A 19,130-nucleotide genomic window follows, 5' to 3' on the forward strand; every position below is an offset into this window, starting at 1 on the left:
GAAAACTCGAGGTCCAGATAGGCAAAGCACTCAGGATTTATTACAGGGGGAGGCCAAAAGAGCCATTAACCTGGAAACTCACCTTCATTAAAGGCCTCAATTTTAGGTGTTTCAGAGCCTCTCCAAATGAGGTTAAAATGTATCATTACTGCATCTTTTGAGTATGCAGACAACTGCACTTGCTAAATATATACACTTAAAATACATTACAATTTTTTAATATATATACCAAGAGAGGCCTCAAGAGTGACCTGTCCCTGGTCACAAAATGAACTAATAGCAGAAAGCAGAAATGAAACTAGAGCCCAGGTCTGCTGGCTCCTGGACAGAATGCTTTCCGCCTTTTTTAAGCCAAGTAAATTCATCTTGATTCACAATATTAAATCTTCTGGCCAGGAAGCACCACTGTGGGACACAAGTGCCCCTTTCACCTGCCTATCTCAGTGCCTGTCACCAGGACTATTCTCCAGGATCCCGCTGTCTGTTACTGCCAGCCACACCATGGCAAGAAGTTGACCAGAATCTTAACAAAAAGTGCCATTTCTTGAGAGCCTCTCATGTGACATGCATTTTACCTGTGTTCATCCTAATCCACACAACTGGCCTTCATTGTAGGGATTGTGCAGATGACCAAACAGACTCAGAGAGGTTTGCCTGAGATTATACAGCAAATAAGTTGGAGAGCTTCAATTCAAAACCAGGCTCATCTGACAGCAAAGCCTGTGTCCACCCCACTCTACCTTGCTGCTACCTTTCAACTGAGACAATCCACATGCATGATGACTCTAAGAGGATATGTACATGGGTCAAGGCAAAATAGCCTTCCTCACAGAGCATTCAGCTTCCAAGGAAGCACTTAAGGGCTGGGGCTGAAAGAGCTGAGAGGCAGTTTCTGTGTAGTCCAACCACATGGGCCAGTCCTCTAATAGGAACTTTTTCTGAAAATCCAGCAGTTACTTACTTGACCAAGTGTCTTATCAGAAGTTCCAGCATCTCTCGGTTCTTTTCTGGTAGCTTATATACCAGGGAGTGAATAGCTCCTAGGCGGTAATCCAGGTTGTCAGACTCTGGGATAGAACAGTAAGAGATAAATGGTTTGGCTTTCTGGGCAACTGGATTGAGCAAAATTCTCACATATATATGCACAAACACACACACATGCACACATGCACACACACACACACACACACACACACAGAGAGAGATTCGGAGAAAGACACCCAGAGACACACACAGAGAGAGAGATAATCAATGAGATGAAAAGAGACAGAGAGATAAATAGGCACTGAAATACAATAAAAATTAGAGACCCAGAAACAAAGACAAAGACATAAAGAAAGAAAAAAGGCAGAAAAAGAGAAAAAAAACACACACAAAGAAACAGGTCTAAAAAGATGTAGAAAATAGAAGATAGAAAAGAGAAGGATGAGAAGAGAAGACTGTCTCAGAGGGAGTCAGAACTCTGAGCACAGCAGGTTGTTCCTGAAGTCTCACAGATAAACTTCCAGCTGGAAACCTATTCCCATCCACCTTCCTTGTGGTACTGAGAAGTGTGCTGCTGCCTCTGGATTCCTGTTAAAATCACTGAGAGAGCCCAGAAGTAAAGAACAAAGCTCCCTTGTTTCAACAAAGACGCATTATGATGTTAAGTCCCCTGAATCTTTTTCCTCTACACCACACAGGATATGATGCAGAATAAGGGTCACATTGAGGTGGAGAGGGGCACTCATACAGTGGCCTCAGCCAAAACTTTCAATGCTTCTTTAATCGCCAACTTTTGGGAGTGATTCTCTATGCCTTATTTCCTATGTACTGACGCCCTCTCCCTCAGTTTTCTCATCTAGAAAATGTGATGCTGGCACTAACAGATTAAGGACAATGGTTCACAACACAGTCGAAAAGCATTTGAACAGGCAAAATGCTGAAGGAAGTTGAAACGGCAACTGTCGTGTAACCATTTTTCTGTCCCCTGGTAATGTGAGCCAATGTTCTTGTTCTGATGGAAGAGGCAATGAATACATATATAAATAAAGCCTTTATATTCACACAACCCTCAAGTTAACCAATTTTCTCAAGCCCACTTAAGTAACACTAATTATGAAAAATAATAGAACTCTTGAGTTAGACAGCAAGCAAGAATACTTTCATTTGGCAGTTGTGCATAATTTGTGTATGTGTTTTAGGTTTCTGTGCCCTCAATCACTTCCCCTCAAACAATTTTCTAGGCTTATTGCAGTAAACATTAAGAAACTAGGACAACACAGTTAATTAGTAACATAAATACTTACTGGCAGCAGAGACCAGCTCTTTGTGAAGTCTATAGGTCATGACAGGTTCAGAAAGATTCCTGAAATGAATGAAAATTGTCAGTTGCTTTGGGAAGAAAGCAGCTGGGTATTGGATTCTTAGTTCTGGGGACAGCAAGGCTGAAGTTCCTGAGCCCTACAGCTTAGTGGGATTATATACATTTTTCTCTTCACCTGAAGCTTCGTCAGGGAATCCAAGTTGCTAGTAATTCAACAAAAGACCTGCAAAAGCATGGGCTGAGCCCTCTAGCAAGGTCTCCAACTAGCTCCCAGAAGTAAAAAGAGGCACAAACCAGTCCTGCAAAATTCCAGAGGGGACCCATGCTGAATGCTACCATGAATCCCTTACGATTTGATAGATCCTTAGAATTTCCGAAGTGCTTTTGCAATTGTCCTCCCAATAATCCTGTGAGGTGGAGCAGTTATTCAAATCCCCATTTACGGGAGGAGGAAACTCAGGCTCAAATGGGTTTACTCATTTAGTCAAAAAACATTCTCAGTAAACTATCGCAAGGACAAAAAACCAAACACCGCATGTTCTCACTCATAGATGGGAATTGAACAATGAGAACACATGGACACAGGAAGGGGAACATCACACTCTGGGGACTGTTGCGGGGTGGGGGGAGGGGGGAGGGATAGCATTAGGAGATATACCTAATGTTAAATGACGAGTTAATGGGTGCAGCACACCAGCATGGCACAAGTATACATATGTAACTAACCTGCACATTGTGCACATGTACCCTAAAACTTAAAGTATAATAATAATAAAAAAAAAAAGAAAAAAAAAAACATTGGCTGAGCATTTACTTGTACCTGGCATTGTGCCAGGTACTGGGGATCCAGAGATGAATAGAAATAGTCCAAACCTCCAACGAGCTAATAGTTTAGTAGAAAAGAGCACCATACACAAAATTTGCAATGCAGTGGGACAAGTACGATGACAAAATAAAGGTATATGGTAGGTGGCTCAGAGGAAGTAAGTAATCAACTAATAATTATAAGAATAGCAAACTCTGTACTGCTCTAAGTGATTTACATGTATTAACCCATTTAAACCTCATAACAACTCTGTGAGGTAGGTACCATTTCCAGTTCATCGATGAGGAAACTGAGGCCTAGAGAAGTTAAAAACTCATCCAAAATTACACAGCTAATAAGTGGCAGAAGCAGGAAGTCTGTCTCCTGAGTCCATGCTCTTAATTACTATACTATACTGCCTGCCACTGTTGTTACTGTAGTAATCCAAGCAAAAGATAATAAAAGACAAACAGAGGGGCTAGTCATGGTGGCTGACATCTGTAATCCCAGCACTTTGGGAGGCCAAGGCAGGAGGATCACTTAAGCCCAAGAGTTCGAGACCAGTCTGGACAACTGAATGAGACCCCTACCTCTTAAAAATAACTTAAAAACAGTAGCTGGGCATGGTGGTGCGTGCCTGTAGTCCAGACTACTCAAGGGGCTGAGATGGGAGGACTGCTTCAGCCTGAGAGAGAGAAGGGTGTGGCGGGAGGGCAAGCCTGCAATGAGTCATGATCACAACACTGCACTCCAGCCTGGGTGACAAAGCATAGAAAGAATAGGTGAGGAGACTGTTTTGAAAAATATTAAAGAAAGAACTCCTTCTTTGATTGGGTATGATGGCAAGGGAGCAGTTTGGTTTGGGTGAGTGAATAGAATAAGAGTTGATTAAGAGGGAAGTAGAGATGCTAAGTCAGGGAGGCCTCAGGAAGGTGATATCTACTAAGAAGCTGGATGCAGGGCTCTGCTAGATCAGAGAAGCAGATGTGAAAATCAGGAACCTAGAGAACAGATGACGAAACCACAAGAACAGATGCCACTTCTCCAGGGGAGCTGGCAAACTGGCAGTCAAACAGCTACATGAGGTCTTCCGATATTTCTTCTTTGTCCAGCACAGTGTATAAAAGTGAAATGGAATTGAATCAATGATCAAAATATTTTAAAATGAGATATTTCATATACAAACCCATATCCCCTGTCCCTGTTGAAAAATGCAAAGATCTGGCTCTATTGGTTCTTTGTAGAAGTAAACAACACTGCTGTTTGTATGTAAACAAAGGGCTTGTCATACAAATAAAGGTTCAATGTGCAAAGTGTTTAATATGAAAATAGTCTACTTCATTCAGTTTTATTTCCTGGTCCCTGTAGATATTTCAGTTTTCAGTTGTTCTACTATAGTAAAATGAGCAGAGAGCCCAGGAAAATACCAAATAGAAAGCCCATAAAGGAGATTGACTAAAATGACCAAAGAGGTTAGAGAAAAACAAAAAGCAAGTGATTCAGCAGAATCCAAAACAGAAGAAAGTATCAAAGAAGGCTTGTTAACAACTTCAAATGTTACAAAAAGGTCAAGTAAGGTAAAGACTGACAACTGTGCTTTGTGTGCAGCATTGAGGGTATCCCTGGTGACCCTGGCAAAAGCAGCTTCATTGGAGCAGAGGGGGTAAGAGTTAGATTACAATGAGTTAAGAAGGAACTGGGGAGTTAAGAAGTACAGACCAGGAGTGTATATTACTTGACACAGAAGCTTGGCTGATGTTGACAAAAAGAGTGAAACTGTGTACAATATTTTAAGAGATTTATTCTGAGCCAACTATGAGTGACCATGGCCTGTGACACAGCCCTCAGGAGGTCCTGAGAACTTGTGCCCAAGGTGGTCAGGGTACAGCTTGGTTTTACATATTTTTAGGGAGGCATGAGACATCAATCAAATACATTTAAGAAATACATTGGTTTGGTTCAGAAAGGCAGGACAACTCAAAGTGGGGGCTTCCAGGCTATAGGTAAATTTAAACATTTTCTGGTTGACAATTGGTTGAGTTTATCTGACGACCGGGATCAATGGAAAGGAATGTTCAGGTTAAGATAAAGGATTGTGGAGACCAAGTTTTATTGTGTGGAGGAATCTCTCAGATACCAGACTTTAGAGAGAGTACGTTGTAAAATGTTTCTTATTAGACCTAAAAGGGCACCTGGCTCTTAGTTGATTATCTCCTGGATCTGGAAAGAAATGAAGGAAAACAATGGGGGAAGGGGATTCTCTATAGAATGTGGATTTTTCCCACAAGAGACTTTGCAGGGCAATTTCAAGGTATGGCAAGAAAATATATTTTGGGATAAAACATTTTCATTTTCTCCCTTGTTATGCCAGAGTCAGATTGGAAAGTAAGTCATGATATACAAGGTTAAATAAAACCCATCTGATGAGAATTTATGGCTTGGAGGGCATGACTCCCCAGACCCCTTAGAAAGGAATTTGGGCAAGATGAAAAATCAGAGTTTAGTCCTCACCGAGTAAAGTATCTCATTAGGCAATCTTGTTTAAGTTCCTGGCTGTAACTATCATCTATATGGTCAATGATCACCAATTTTTTAGTTCAAGCCCTGAACTCATCACTGAGTTTCAGACCTATGTATTCAATTGCCTGCTTAATATTGTGCCCTGATTTCTTCAAAGCTACCCAAATTCGACATATCCAAATTCCAACTTATTGCCTCCCTCAAACTTAGTCTTCTTGTGTTTCTCAAATCAGTAAATGCATGACCATCATTTGGTTGTATGGGCCAGAAACATGGAAGTCACCTTTTTGTCTCCCTATCCCTAATCCTCATATCCAATTCATGAATTGTACTTCCCAAATCTCTTGAATATGCTTACTTCTAGGAATATCTACTGCTACTCCCTAGTCCAAGCATGAGCATCATCTCTTGCCTGGACGACAGCCATAGCCGGCTAACTGATTTCCACATCTCTGCCCATTTTATATCACTGTAATCTAATCTCCATCCTTTTTTATTTCAAAATACAAATCTCAATATGCACCTCATGTTTAAAATCTTTCAATATAGTCCCATTACTTTTAAGATAAATTTAGACCCTAATTTTTAAAAGATCCTTTAAAGCCATGAATGATATGGCCCTTACATACCTCTCCCTCCCTCTCTACACTCAATACTCCCCCTATACTGATTCATGTAGTTTGTTGAAGGGGCCTTCTTCCCTCCTGCCTCAAGTCTTTGCGTATTCATTTCCCTCTGTCTGGAACCCAACTCCTACTTAGTTGATTCCAACTTACAGTTCAAACCTCAGTTTAAACCAAAATGGGTGACGTCTTCCTATTAAATGCCTTCATAGCACGTTATACCTTTCCTTCAGAGTACTTATTAGAGTTTATTACATTTGTATGATTATTTGTCTTCTGACTGTCCCCTTTACTAGGCTATAAGTTCTTTAAGGTCAGAGACCATATCTATACACAACTGTTTGCCTAGTGCTTAACATCACACTGGGCATAGAATAAGCAGTCAAGATATTTTTACTGAATCATTTACTGATTTAAAGATGTATGTGGCTGGAGCATAATTACATACTCGGAAAAAGAGCCAGTTGAATGAGAGAGGATAAAAATAGGGGAGAGAGAAGGGATGATTTTTAGAGGACTTCTCTGGAAAGGTTAGAGATAAGGGGTGATTTAGTTACCTAGAACAGAGTGTGGAGACCTGTCCTGGAACACAGCTATCTTTGAGAATTCTATAGGGTATTTACTGGCTGGTATATATTACAGAACCATGGATGAGAGTCTCGAGAACAAATATCACTTACTGGGGGTGCCGCCCACTCGCACTTTCAGGCTTGACCCTCTCATCTTTGAAAAGGGCCACCCTGCCTATTATAGGATGAGCTGGGAATAATGCAATGTGGGGAAGGCCTTACAAATCTAAGAAAATGTTGAGACTCCTTTGAAGGAAGCTAGAGATACAGAATCACTTATTCCCACTATTCTCATCACAACAAGTCTTCTTAAAGTATTTGTAACAGATTGCTCTCTGTCTTTACTAAATTACCAAGCCATCCAAAGAAGGCCAAAGCTCCTGGGAGTAGGGGGCAGGAGAAGAAGATGCCCCAGTACCAGGGGCCTTATAAGTCAGAGACACTGAGATTTAAAAAATACAAGCTGGGACCATGGCTATTACTTAATGGAGAAAGTGGTGCACCTTGGTTTCCTCATCTGCAAAACGAGTCAAGTACCACCTAGTACACTCGGTTAATGGGAGAAAAAAACAATGACACTATCAGTGTAAACAACTAGCCGTAGCCTAGTACAGAATAAACCCTCCAATAACAGTTCTTTTCTTTATCAGCAGATGCAGGAGAAATATTCCTGGAAAGAACATTCAAGTTTATGGAAAGCTCTAAGATGATGCTACAGTAGCAAAATATTTAACAGTAATATCTGAAACCCAATCTATTTTAGATTAATGAGATTTCCCAGAACTTATGTATCAATCTTAATGGCTCAAGAACACAATCATTGAAAAGAAGAGGCTTTTGCACATAAAGTATGATACATACTATGAGACATAAAGAGTGGTAAGAAATCAATGTGTTTAAAAAATATATATGTCTTAAGCACCTTTTGCATAATATAAATTTATGCCAATAAACTGAACAATATATTCATTAATATTGCACATTCCCAAATTTTGTTGGTGAGCTAACTTTTTTCCATACTGCTGACAGTTCATTTAGCTCCAATATTATTACAGTTGTATTTTCTTGGTTTTTATTTCCATTACCTGGATTAAGACATGATACGTAGCACATCACACACATATACCATTTTTGCCCAAATGCAATTTGACATTTCAAAATGGTTATTATCCTCTAAAACATGTTAGCCACCCTGAATAGTCCCAGCTCCTGATTCTACTAGTGAATCCATCACAACATCACTCTATCTGTGAAGAGCAAAACGTATTCAATTATTTCAAGTGCATGTTTTTTGAACATAATCTTTTTAGCCTTTTTTCAGTAACAATTCTATTATTTTTATGCTTCTCTTGCTTAAACTCTCAGATTTAAAAAACAGTCTTTGCACATTCTTGGCCAGAAATCCTCTTCACATGTTTTTTCTTAAGCAATTCTATCCAAACTCCTGGAACTGAGACCACGTTAACTCCGCTCAACACCCAGAGAAATTTCACCAGCTATGAAAAGCAAACTCCCAATTCAAATCAGGCATACCTGAGGTAGAATTTCAAGGAGCTGGTGATTGTCTTAATGTCCCAGTCACTATTATGAAAATCAACATCTCCTGGGCATTTAGGATCTATTTGAGAAAAGTAAACAAAAAACAAAAGTTAATCATCAAAAAAATCTTACATTTTCCCTCTTTTAAAAGAAAAACAAAGTATATTACCCTAAGTAGTTTTTAAGAGATCAAAACTTTAGAAGAAGCAAATCTTTGATATTTCAAAAACATGACTGCATTCTGGTCTGCCATATAAGAAATAAGAAAGTAATCTATCCAATTCACACAACAAGAAAAAACTGAACAAACAAAATCAACTCTTCTTAGATTCATCAGATAACTGGGGTCATAGGGTAAATGGCTGTCCCCAGAAGTGAGGAGATAGATAGAGAGAACCAAATCTTACAGTAACAGAAGGCCAGGAGTAGAAAACTCCTTGCGAACCAGCACTGGGATAGGATAACCTAATCTGTAATTTACAAATTGCTGGAGGCTTAATATGCTCGGATTTGAGAGGTAAAAACTCCAATAGGGCCCAGTCCAAAAGGGGCTCCCAAACTTTTGTGAGTTTTACCTACAAGAGTCCTATCAAGTTTTGATGGTGAAAAATCCCCTCATGCTTCCAGCAGGGGGGAAAGATAAGTAGTCATTTAAAAATATTCACAGACCCTTCTCTTCTTCTTAACAAGGTCTTCCCTCAAGAGAAACTATTTTTACCAGATCAAAACCTCCTGGAGTTTTATCAGAACCTAAGCGAACGAGGTGAAGGGAAATACCGAATTCCAGACCCAATTTGCCTTCCCATCTCTCCCAAGAGGGGGAAAAAAAATTCCTGAGAAGAACTTAAGTAAGTCACAGGCCAGGGGCACAGCTCACTAAAAGACAGAGACATAATCTTATAGAAGACCTCCCCACCCATGACACCTTACCACCGTATCAACTGGGCTCATATGTAACCACGGAAATATGACTAAAAGAACTGTGCTTCTCAGATGATATTTAAGTCTTTAGGCCAAACCAAAAATAACAGAGGAGGCAAAAACAAGAACATCAGAGTAATGTTTAGCCTCTATCAGTCGCATTTCTACAGACTAACAATGAACTATTTGAAAAAAATTTCAAAAACAATCCCATTTACAATAGTATTAAATAAAGAAAAAACTTAGGAATAAATTTAGTCAAGGAAGTGAATAACTGCTATACTAAAAACTATAAAACACTGATAAAACAAACTGAAGACACAAATAAATGAAAAAATAGTCCATGTTCATGGATTAGGAGAACTAATCTTGTTAAAATGTCCATACTTCCCAAAGCTTTCTCTGGGTTCAATGCAATTCCTATCAAAATTCCAATGTCATTTTTCACAGAAATAGAAGATAATCATAAAATTCATATGAAATGACAAAAGACCCTGAATAGTCAAAGCAATCTTTAGCAAAAGGAAAAAACATGAAGGTATCACATTCTCTGACTTCAAAATATATTATGAAGTTATTATAATCACATATAAACAGCATGGTACTGGCATAAAAACAGACCAATCAACCAATAGTACAGAACAGAAAGTCCAGACGTAAACCCAAGTACTTAGAGTTAATTGATTTTTTGACAAAGGTGTCAAGAACACTCAACAGGGAAAGGATACTCTATTCAGTAAATGGTGCTGGAAAAACTGGATATCCTCATACGGAAGGAAATTGGACTCTATCTTACACTGTATACAAAAATCAACACAAAATGAATAAAGACTTAAATGTAAGACCAGAAACCATAAAACTACTAGAAGAAAACATAGGTGAAAAGCTCCATGACATTTGTCTGGGCAATGATTTCTTGGATCAGACTCTAAAGACACAAGCAACAAATGCTAACGTAGACAAATGGAATTGCACCAAACTAAAAAGCTTCTGCAAAGAAATGGAAACAATTAACACAGTGAGGGGACAACCCACGGATTGGGTAAAAACATTGGCAAACCATAAATCTGATAAGGGGCTGATATCCAAAATATAGAAGTAACTCAAACAACTAAATAACAAGAAAACAAATAACCCAAGTAAAAAATGGGTAAGAAAATATGAGCAAACATTTCTCCAAAAAAAGAGACACTGGAATGTGTGCACTTCAGAAAGAGAGAGTGCAGCAATTGTGAGACACTGCATTGAACTCCGTGCTACCCTGTCACATGGAAGAAAGCAAAATCAGGCTGAACTCAGCTAAGGACAACCCACACAGGGAGCATTTAAACCAGCCCTAGCTAGAGGGGAATCACACATCCTAGTTCTAAGCCTTGACACTGCAGGCTAAAGTGCTCTGGATCCCTAAATAAACTTGAAGGGCACTCTAAGCCACAAGGACTGCAACTCTTATATTAGTCCTAGTGTTGAACTGGGCTCAGAGCCAGTGAATTTGGGAGGCATGCAACCTACTGAGACACCAGCCATGGTGGCTATGGGAGTCCTTGCACCACCCCACACAGCACAGCTCAAGGCTCCAAAAGATACCCCTTCCTTCTGCTTGAGGAAAAGAGGGGGCAAGAGTAAAGAGGACTTTGTCTTGCATCTTGTATATTAGCTCAGCCACAGTAGCCTAGAGCACTCATCAGAGTCCTAAGGCCCCTTTTCCAGACTCTAGCTCCCAGACATTTCTACACACACCTGGGGCCAAAAGGGAACCCACTGCCTTGAATGGAAGAACCCAGTCCTGGCAGGACCCATCACATGCTGACTAAAGAACCTTTGGACCCTAAATAACCAGAAGCAAAACCCAGATAGTACTCATTGGGCCTTAGACGAAACTTTGTGGGCTTCAGGTATGACTCAACACGTTCCCAGCTGTGGTAGCTGTGGGGAGAGACTCCTTCTGCTTCAGAAAAGTAGAGGGAAAAGTAAAAGTGGACTTTAAAAGTAAAAGGAGAAAGTAAGGAAAGAAAACAAGAGTCTCTGCCTAGTAATCCAGAGAAGTCTTCCAGATCTTATTCAACACCATCAAGGTGGTACCGCTACAAATCTGCAAGAACCACAGAATTACTGGGTATGGGATGCTCTCTAATGCAGATATGGATTGGATGAAAACACTCAAGTCCTTTCAAATATCTGGAAAGTCTTCCCAAGAAGGACAAGTACAAACAAGCCCAGACTAAAAAGACTACACTACTTAACTCTTAGATGCCCAGAAACAGATGAACATTCACAAGCATCAGGACCATTCAAGAAAATATGACCTTCCAAAATGAACTAAATAAGGCATCAGAGACTAATCTTGGAGAAACAGAGGTATGTGACATATAAGACAGAGAAATCAAAATAGCTATTTTGAGAAAACTCAAATAAATTCAATATAATATAGAAAAGGAATTCAGAATTCTATCACATACATTTAACAAAGACATTGAAATAATTTTAAAAATCAAGCAGAAATTCTGGAGTTAAAAAATGTAAGTGACATGCAGAAGAATGCATCAGAGTCTTATAATAACATAATTGATCAAGCAGAAGAATTGATGAGCTTGAAGACAGGCTATTCGAAAATACACATTTAGAGGAGACAAAAGAGAAAAGAATGAAAAACAACGAAGCATGACTACAGGATCTATAAAATAGTCTCAAAAGGGCATATATAAGAGTTACTGGCCTTAAAGAGGAGGTAGAGAAAGAGACAGGGGTAGCAAGCTTATTCAGTGGGATAGTATCAGCGATATCAACTTTGAAGTACAAGACGGTTATAGAACACCAGAGACATTTAACCCAAACAAGAATATCTAAAGGCATTTAATAATCAGATTCCTCAAGATCAAGGATAAAAAAAGGATCCTAAAAGCAGCAAGGGGAAAAGAGACAAGTAACATAAAAAGGAGCTCGAATATGTCTGACAGCAGACTTTTCAGTGGAAACCTTACAGGCCAAGAGAGAGTGGCATGACATAAAGTGCTGAAGAAGAAAAACTCTTACCCTAGAATAGTATATCTGGTGAAAATGTCCTTCAAACATGAAGGAAAAATAAAGACTTTCCAAGACAAACAAAAGCTGAGAGATTTCATCAATAGCAGATCTATCTTACAAGAGACGCTAAAGAGAGTACTTCATTCAGAAAGAGAAGAACAGTAATGAGCACTAAGAAATCATCTGAAGATATAAAACTCACTGGTAATAGTAAGTACACAGAAAAACACAGAATATTATAACACCGTAACTGTAATGTGTAAACCACTCTTAAGTAGAAAGACTAAACAATGAATCAATCAAAAATAATAACTCCAACAACTTTAAAGACATAGAGAGTACAACAAGACATAAATGGAAACAACAAAAAACTGAAAAGTGGGCAGAAAAAATTATGGTGTAAAGTTTTTATTAGTTTCCTTTTTTCCTTGTTTGTTTGTTTATGCTATCAGTTATAAGTTGTCATCAGTTTACAATAATGGGTTATAAGAGAGAATTTGCAAACCTCTTAATAACCTCAAATCAAAAAAGATACAATGGATACACAAAAAATAAAAAGGAAGAAATTAAAATCATACCACTAGAGAAAATCTACTTCACTAAAAAGACAGGAAGAAAAGAAGGAAGACAAGACCACAAAACAATCAGAAAACAAATAATAAAATGGGACGGAGTAAATCATTACTTATCAATAATAACATTGAATATAAATAGACAAAACTCTCTAATCAAAAGACATACAGTAGCTGAATGGATAAAAAAAAATAGATCAAATGACTCTTGCCTACAAAAAACACATTTATCCTGTAAAGACACACATAGACTGAAAATAAAAGGGTGGAAAAAAGATACTCCATGCCAATGGAAACCAAAAAAGAACAGAGTAGCTATACCTATATTAGAAAAAATAGACTTCAAGACAAAAACTGTAAGAGACAAAGAAGATCATCTGTCTTGTAGGACAGATCTCGTATTGATGAAATCCCTCAGCTTTTGTTTGTCAGGAAAGTCTTTATTTCTCTTTCATGTTTGAAGGACATTTCCACTAGACATACTATTCTAGAATAAAAGTTTTTTTTTTCCCTTCACTACTTTAAATCTTCAGAAGATCATTATGACCCCATAACGATAAAGGGGTCAATTTAGCAAGAGGAAATAACAATTTTAAATATAATACACCCAATGCTGGAGCACCCAAACATATAAATATTATTAGAGCTAAAAGGAGAGGTAGATTTCAATAGGATAATAGCTAAACACTTCAACACCCCTACTTTCAGCATTAAACAGATCTCCCAGACAGAAAATCAACAAAGAAGCATTCGACTTAATCTGCACTATGGACCAAATGGATCTAGTAGATATTTACAGAACATTTCATCCAATGGCTACAGAATACACATTCTTCACCTCAGCACATGGATCATTCTCAAGGACAGACCATATGTTAGGTCACAAAACAAGTCTTTTTTTTTTGAGACAAGGTCTCACTCCACCACCCAGGCTGGAATGCAGTGGCTCACTGCAGTCTCAGCCTCATAGGTTCAAGCAGCCCTCCCATCTCAGCCCCCACTAGTAGCTGGAACTACAAGCGTGTGCCACCACACCTGGATAACTTTTTGTACTTTTAGTAGAGACAGGGTTTCACTATGTTACCCAGGCTGGTCTTGAACTCCTGGACTCAAGCGATCTGCCCACTTCGGCCTCCCAAAGTGCTAGGATTACAGGCGTGAGCAACTGCACCCACCCATAAAGCAAGTCTTAAAACATTCAAAAAAACTGAAATAATATCAAGTATCTTCTCTGACCACAATGGAAAAAAAAGCTAGAAATCAATAAGAAGAGGAATTTTGAAAACTATACAAACACATGGAAATTAATATCCTCCTGAATGATCAGTGGGCCAATGGTAAAATTAAGAAGAAAACTGAACATTTTCTTAAAGCAAATGATAATGGAAATGTAATATACTAAAACGTATGGGATACAGTAAAAGCAGTACTAAGATGGAAGGTTATAGCTATAATGCCTACATCAAAAAGAAAAACTTCAAATAAATAACCTAATGATGTATCTTAAAGAACTAGAAAAGCAAGAGCAAACCAAATCCAAAATTAGTAGAAGAAATAATTAAGATCAGAGCAGAAATAAAATGAATTTGACATGATAATAATACAAAAAGATCAATAAAACAAAAAGTTGGTTTTCTGAAAAGATACATAAAATTGACAAACCTTTAGCCAGATTAAGATAAAAAGAGAGAATATCCCAATAAATAAAATCAGAGATGAGAAAGGAGACATTACAACTGATACTGCAGAAATTCAAAGGGTAATTAGTGGCTACTATGAGGAACTATATGCCAATAAATTGGAAAACTAGAAGAAATTGATAAATTCCTAGACACACACAACCTACCAAGATTGAACCAGGAATAAATCCAAAACCTGAACCGACCAATAACAAGGAACAAGATCAAAGGCATAATAAAAAGTCTAACAGCAAAGAAAAGTCTGGGACCCAATAGCTTTACTGCTGAATTCTACCAAACATTTAAAGAAGAGCTAATACTAAACCTATTCAAACTATTCTGAAAAAATAGAGGGGGGAGGGAGTACTTCCAAACTCACTCTACGAGGCCAATATTACCCTGATACCAAAACCAGACCAAAACACATCAAAAAAACAAACTAACAAACAAACAAAAAGCTATTGGCCATAACCACTGATCAATATATATATATATATATATATATATACATACACACACACACACACACATATATACCCTCAACAAAATACTAGCAAGCCAAATTCAACAAATTTTAAAAATCCTTCATCATGACCAAGTGGGATTTATCTCAGGGATGCAAGGATGGTTCAACATACACAAATAAATCAATACAGTACATCATACCAATAAAACGAAGGACAAAAACCATACTATAATTTCAATTGTTACTGAAAAAGCATTTGACAAAATTCAATATCCCTTCAGGATAAAAACCCTCAAAAATCTGGGTATAGAAAAAGCATGGCCCTGCCCAAGGCCTGTTCCATTCTCAGTGAAAATAAACACCAATTTAGCCATGTGTCTGTTTAGGATCCCTAATATTCACAAGACACTGTCAACTCCAATTTCAGCTTGATTGTATAGCATATTGGTCTACATTTATCTGACTAGATGGTGATTTGTACATTATAATTACTTCTCAGAGAATGGCAATTCCAGATTTATAGTCTGCAATTCAATTTTTTTTTTTTGAGACAGAGTCTCACTCTGTTGCCCAGGCTGGAGTGCAGTGGCGCAATCTCGGCTCACTGCAACCTCTGCCTACCAGGTTCAAGCGATTCTCGTGCCTCAGCCTCCTGAGTAGCTGGGATTACAGGTGCGTGCCACCACACCTGGCTAATTTTTGTATTTTTAGTAGAGGCAGGGTTTCACCATATTGGCCAGAATGGTCTTGAACTCCTGACCTCAAGGGATCCACCAGCCTTGGCCTCCCAAAGTGCTGGGATTACAGGCATGAGCCACTGTGCCCGGCCATAGTCTGTAATTCTTACATACATCTTTGTGACAAGACAGTATTCATAGAGGATTGCCTGAAGAACATGCAGTCCATCTTTTCCTCTAGGTTGGTCACTGTGAACCACTCTTTTCCACCCAAACACCCTACCTTCTGAATCCGTGGCTCACCACAGCAGTGATTATTAGAAGAATTTTAAACTTTTTTACTCATTTGTATCTGGAATTTTTATGCAAGAACTCACACTGATATCTTACAAACTCAAATTTGACTCTTGCTTGTCTATAAACCAACCAAAAGAACAAACTAAAAAGGTTCTTAGGTCTGTAGATCTCATGAAGATAGAGAGTAGACTGGTGAGTATCAGAGGACAGGAAGGGTAGGAGGAGGGAAGATGAAGAAGAAAAAAAGTTTCCTCCATAAAAAGAGTTATTAGGTTTAGGAAAAGTCAATGTAGTTTAATAGAAGGAAAACTCTCTGAAGAATCAGAATACAGGAATCCCTCTGGAAAAAAGCATTTACAGTGAGAAACACAAGGTTTTAGAACGTGGCTGATATAAGGTGACAATGTGATTAAAAGGTGGTTGCAATGAAATGCAAATGATAATGAAGGACAAAAATTATTCATAGCCTAATAATAAAAGAATACTTCTTATTTTTTTCTTTTTTTTAAAAAAGAATACTTCTTTAAGCTAATAAAGATCTACTGTGATGTGCTGGCAAATAATGAACAGGTTGACAGAGAAGGTGGGGAGCGCTGATTTTAGCATTTGTCAATTTCCATGTGAATCAACCATGGCTGATTTGAAGTGATCAACATAATGTCAATGAATGTGAAGTTGGGAAAATATGTGTACAGTTACACCTTTTGAGCAGGTACCAGCTGCCTCCAACACACCACTGAGTCAATCTCAAATGATCAGCTCATATCACCATTAATGGTGCAATACTAGAAGCTTATGATCAGAAGCCAGAAAAGGATGTCTGCTATCACTAGTACTACTTATCATTTGGTCAGAGTGTCTAGAACAATGATTCTCAAACACAGCTTCTAGAAACATCTGAGAAGCTTTTAAAAATGACAATACCCACATTCCCCCTACATCAGGTAAACCAGAATCTCTGATTCAGGTGAGTCCTGATACTTTTTAAAAAACTCTTCACCGAGTTTAATGAACAGCAAAGGTGGTGAGGAACTGGGTTCTCAATGTAATTTTAAAAAGAAACAAAAACAGAAAAGTTAAACCTATTGGAAAGGAGATAGAATAATCATTATTTACCTATCATATAACTGTCTAACTGAAAAATGCAAGAGAAATTACTGATACTTTTTTTTTTTTTCCAGAAAGGGTCTCACTCTGTCACTCAGGCTGCAGTGTAATGGTGTGGTCATGGCTCACTTCAGCCTCAAACTCCTGGGCTCAAGGGCTCTTCCCTCCTCTGCCTCCCGAGTAGATAGGACTATAGGCCCGCACCACCATGCCCAGCAATTTTTGTATTTTTAATTTTTGTAGAGATGGGGTCTCATTATGTTGCCCAGGCTGGTCTAGAACTCCTGGGCTCAGGCGATCCTCTCGCATTGGCTTCACAAAGTGCTGGGAATACAAGCATGAGCCACCATGCTTAGACCTATTGATAATGTTTTTAACATTAACAAGGAAGCCTGTTAAAATTCCTGGTCAGTGAATGAAGATATAAAAATCATAAGCATCCTATATATTAGTAACAGACACTTCAAAATTGTAATAGAAAAAAACAGTTGCACTGTATGTGTGTGGGAGAGAGAGAGAGGAGAGTGATTTATTTAAGTCTCAGAATTAATATAAATAAAAGTATTACACACACAAAAAGACTTCCGTAAATGAAAAACAAAATTTTGTGATCCTGGATAGAAAGACTAAATATTGCATGTTGTCAACTTCATTCCAATTAATTAATAGATTTAGTATAATTGTAATCAAAATGCCAACAAGCTAATTTTCTGGAATGTGATAAAATAATTCTAAAGTTTACATGGAATAATAAACTAGCAAAATGAGTGAAACATTTTTTAAACAGAATAATTATGGAAGGTTTGTGCTACTCAAAAGGAAAATGATTATGTGGCATGGTCATAGTAGTATAAGAATAGTTAGGTCAGTGGAAAAAATGAAAGCTCACGATAAGACCATCGTATAAATGTAAGAACTTAATGTACAATAAAAGCGGCATTTTAAATTGGTGGAAAAAAAGCAGAATTGTTCAAAAAATGGAACATGGACAATTAACTATTTGGGAAAAAAATAAGTTAGATCTCTATTTCACAACCAAACAACATATTCAATTTCAAGTGCATGGAGGAGATAAAATGTAAAATAAAACCACTAAATAATACAAATAAAACATAAGTGGATTTTAATAGGTTATTGGGTTAAGGAATGACTTCTAAACATATGTAGAAAATAACGCTTTAAATGCACCCTGGAGCATGCCATGTATATACAGCAAGGGTGACAAGCTCTAAAAACTAGCACAGAGATGACCACTTAAGAGGTGCACTGGGGTCATGATTTGGTAGGGTATGCATTAAACTTTGCATCTCAAAAATAAGTCTACAGTCAGGTACCAAACTGCATGAGAGTCACTTGGGCAGATGTTTAAAATGCAGATCTCTGGATCCCAATGCAAGAGATTAATTCATTGGGTCCATGATGAGGCCTGGCAGTTTGCATTTAAAAAAATAATAATGTCTCAAAGGTGATTCTAGGATGAAAGTGGTTTGTGGAATTACTGTCTAAATATTGCTAAGCCATCTACCATGTAATGTGATGAATAATAAGATTGAAAGTAAAAATAATCATAGAAAATATATTGGTAAAGACCCTAACCACCACTCTCAAATGTGTTCTCACACAATGCTATTTTTACATTCAGAGGCAAACCAAACAAAACAACTATAGAAAGTTACAATGGCTTACCTAAAGTACACAGATCATGTCAGAGTGTCTCAATTAATTCAGGAAATGGTAGATAATATAATATTACTGAGAAAAATCTAGTTGCATGAATAGGAAGCCCAGCTTTGATTAACTGAAGTTGATAAAACAGATCAAGTGAGAGGAAAAACAAGTGACTAACAGAAAGCGTGAGCAGAAATAAGCCCATCATGCTCTGACATAAGCCACAAAAGCAGTAATGACTAATGTGAGGATTGATTAGTTTCTCCAAGTTAAGGTCTTGCCAGTTGTATTTTGGGCTCTTAAATATCACCCCTCTTCTTCAATTATAAAATCCAGGGATGCCAGACTAAAGGACAGC

General features: G+C 38.0%; 1 protein-coding gene across 7 annotated transcripts in view; it reads right to left on the bottom strand.

Annotated features, from left to right (window-relative positions):
- The window catches only part of OPHN1 (oligophrenin 1), a 391,498-nt gene that overhangs the window by 68,549 nt on the left and 303,819 nt on the right, over positions 1 to 19,130 (bottom strand). For all 7 annotated transcript variants that reach the window (XM_011530961.2, NM_001437258.1, XM_006724653.3 and 4 more), the window contains 3 exons: positions 8,356 to 8,440; positions 2,289 to 2,347; positions 962 to 1,067 (listed from right to left, as the gene is read on the bottom strand). In XM_011530961.2, coding sequence (XP_011529263.1) covers positions 962 to 1,067; positions 2,289 to 2,347; positions 8,356 to 8,440 — 250 coding nt within the window. The remainder of the gene's footprint in view (positions 1 to 961; positions 1,068 to 2,288; positions 2,348 to 8,355; positions 8,441 to 19,130) is intronic.

Source organism: Homo sapiens, chromosome X (genome assembly GCF_000001405.40).
Source record: "Homo sapiens chromosome X, GRCh38.p14 Primary Assembly".
NCBI classification, from domain to species: Eukaryota; Metazoa; Chordata; class Mammalia; order Primates; family Hominidae; genus Homo; species Homo sapiens.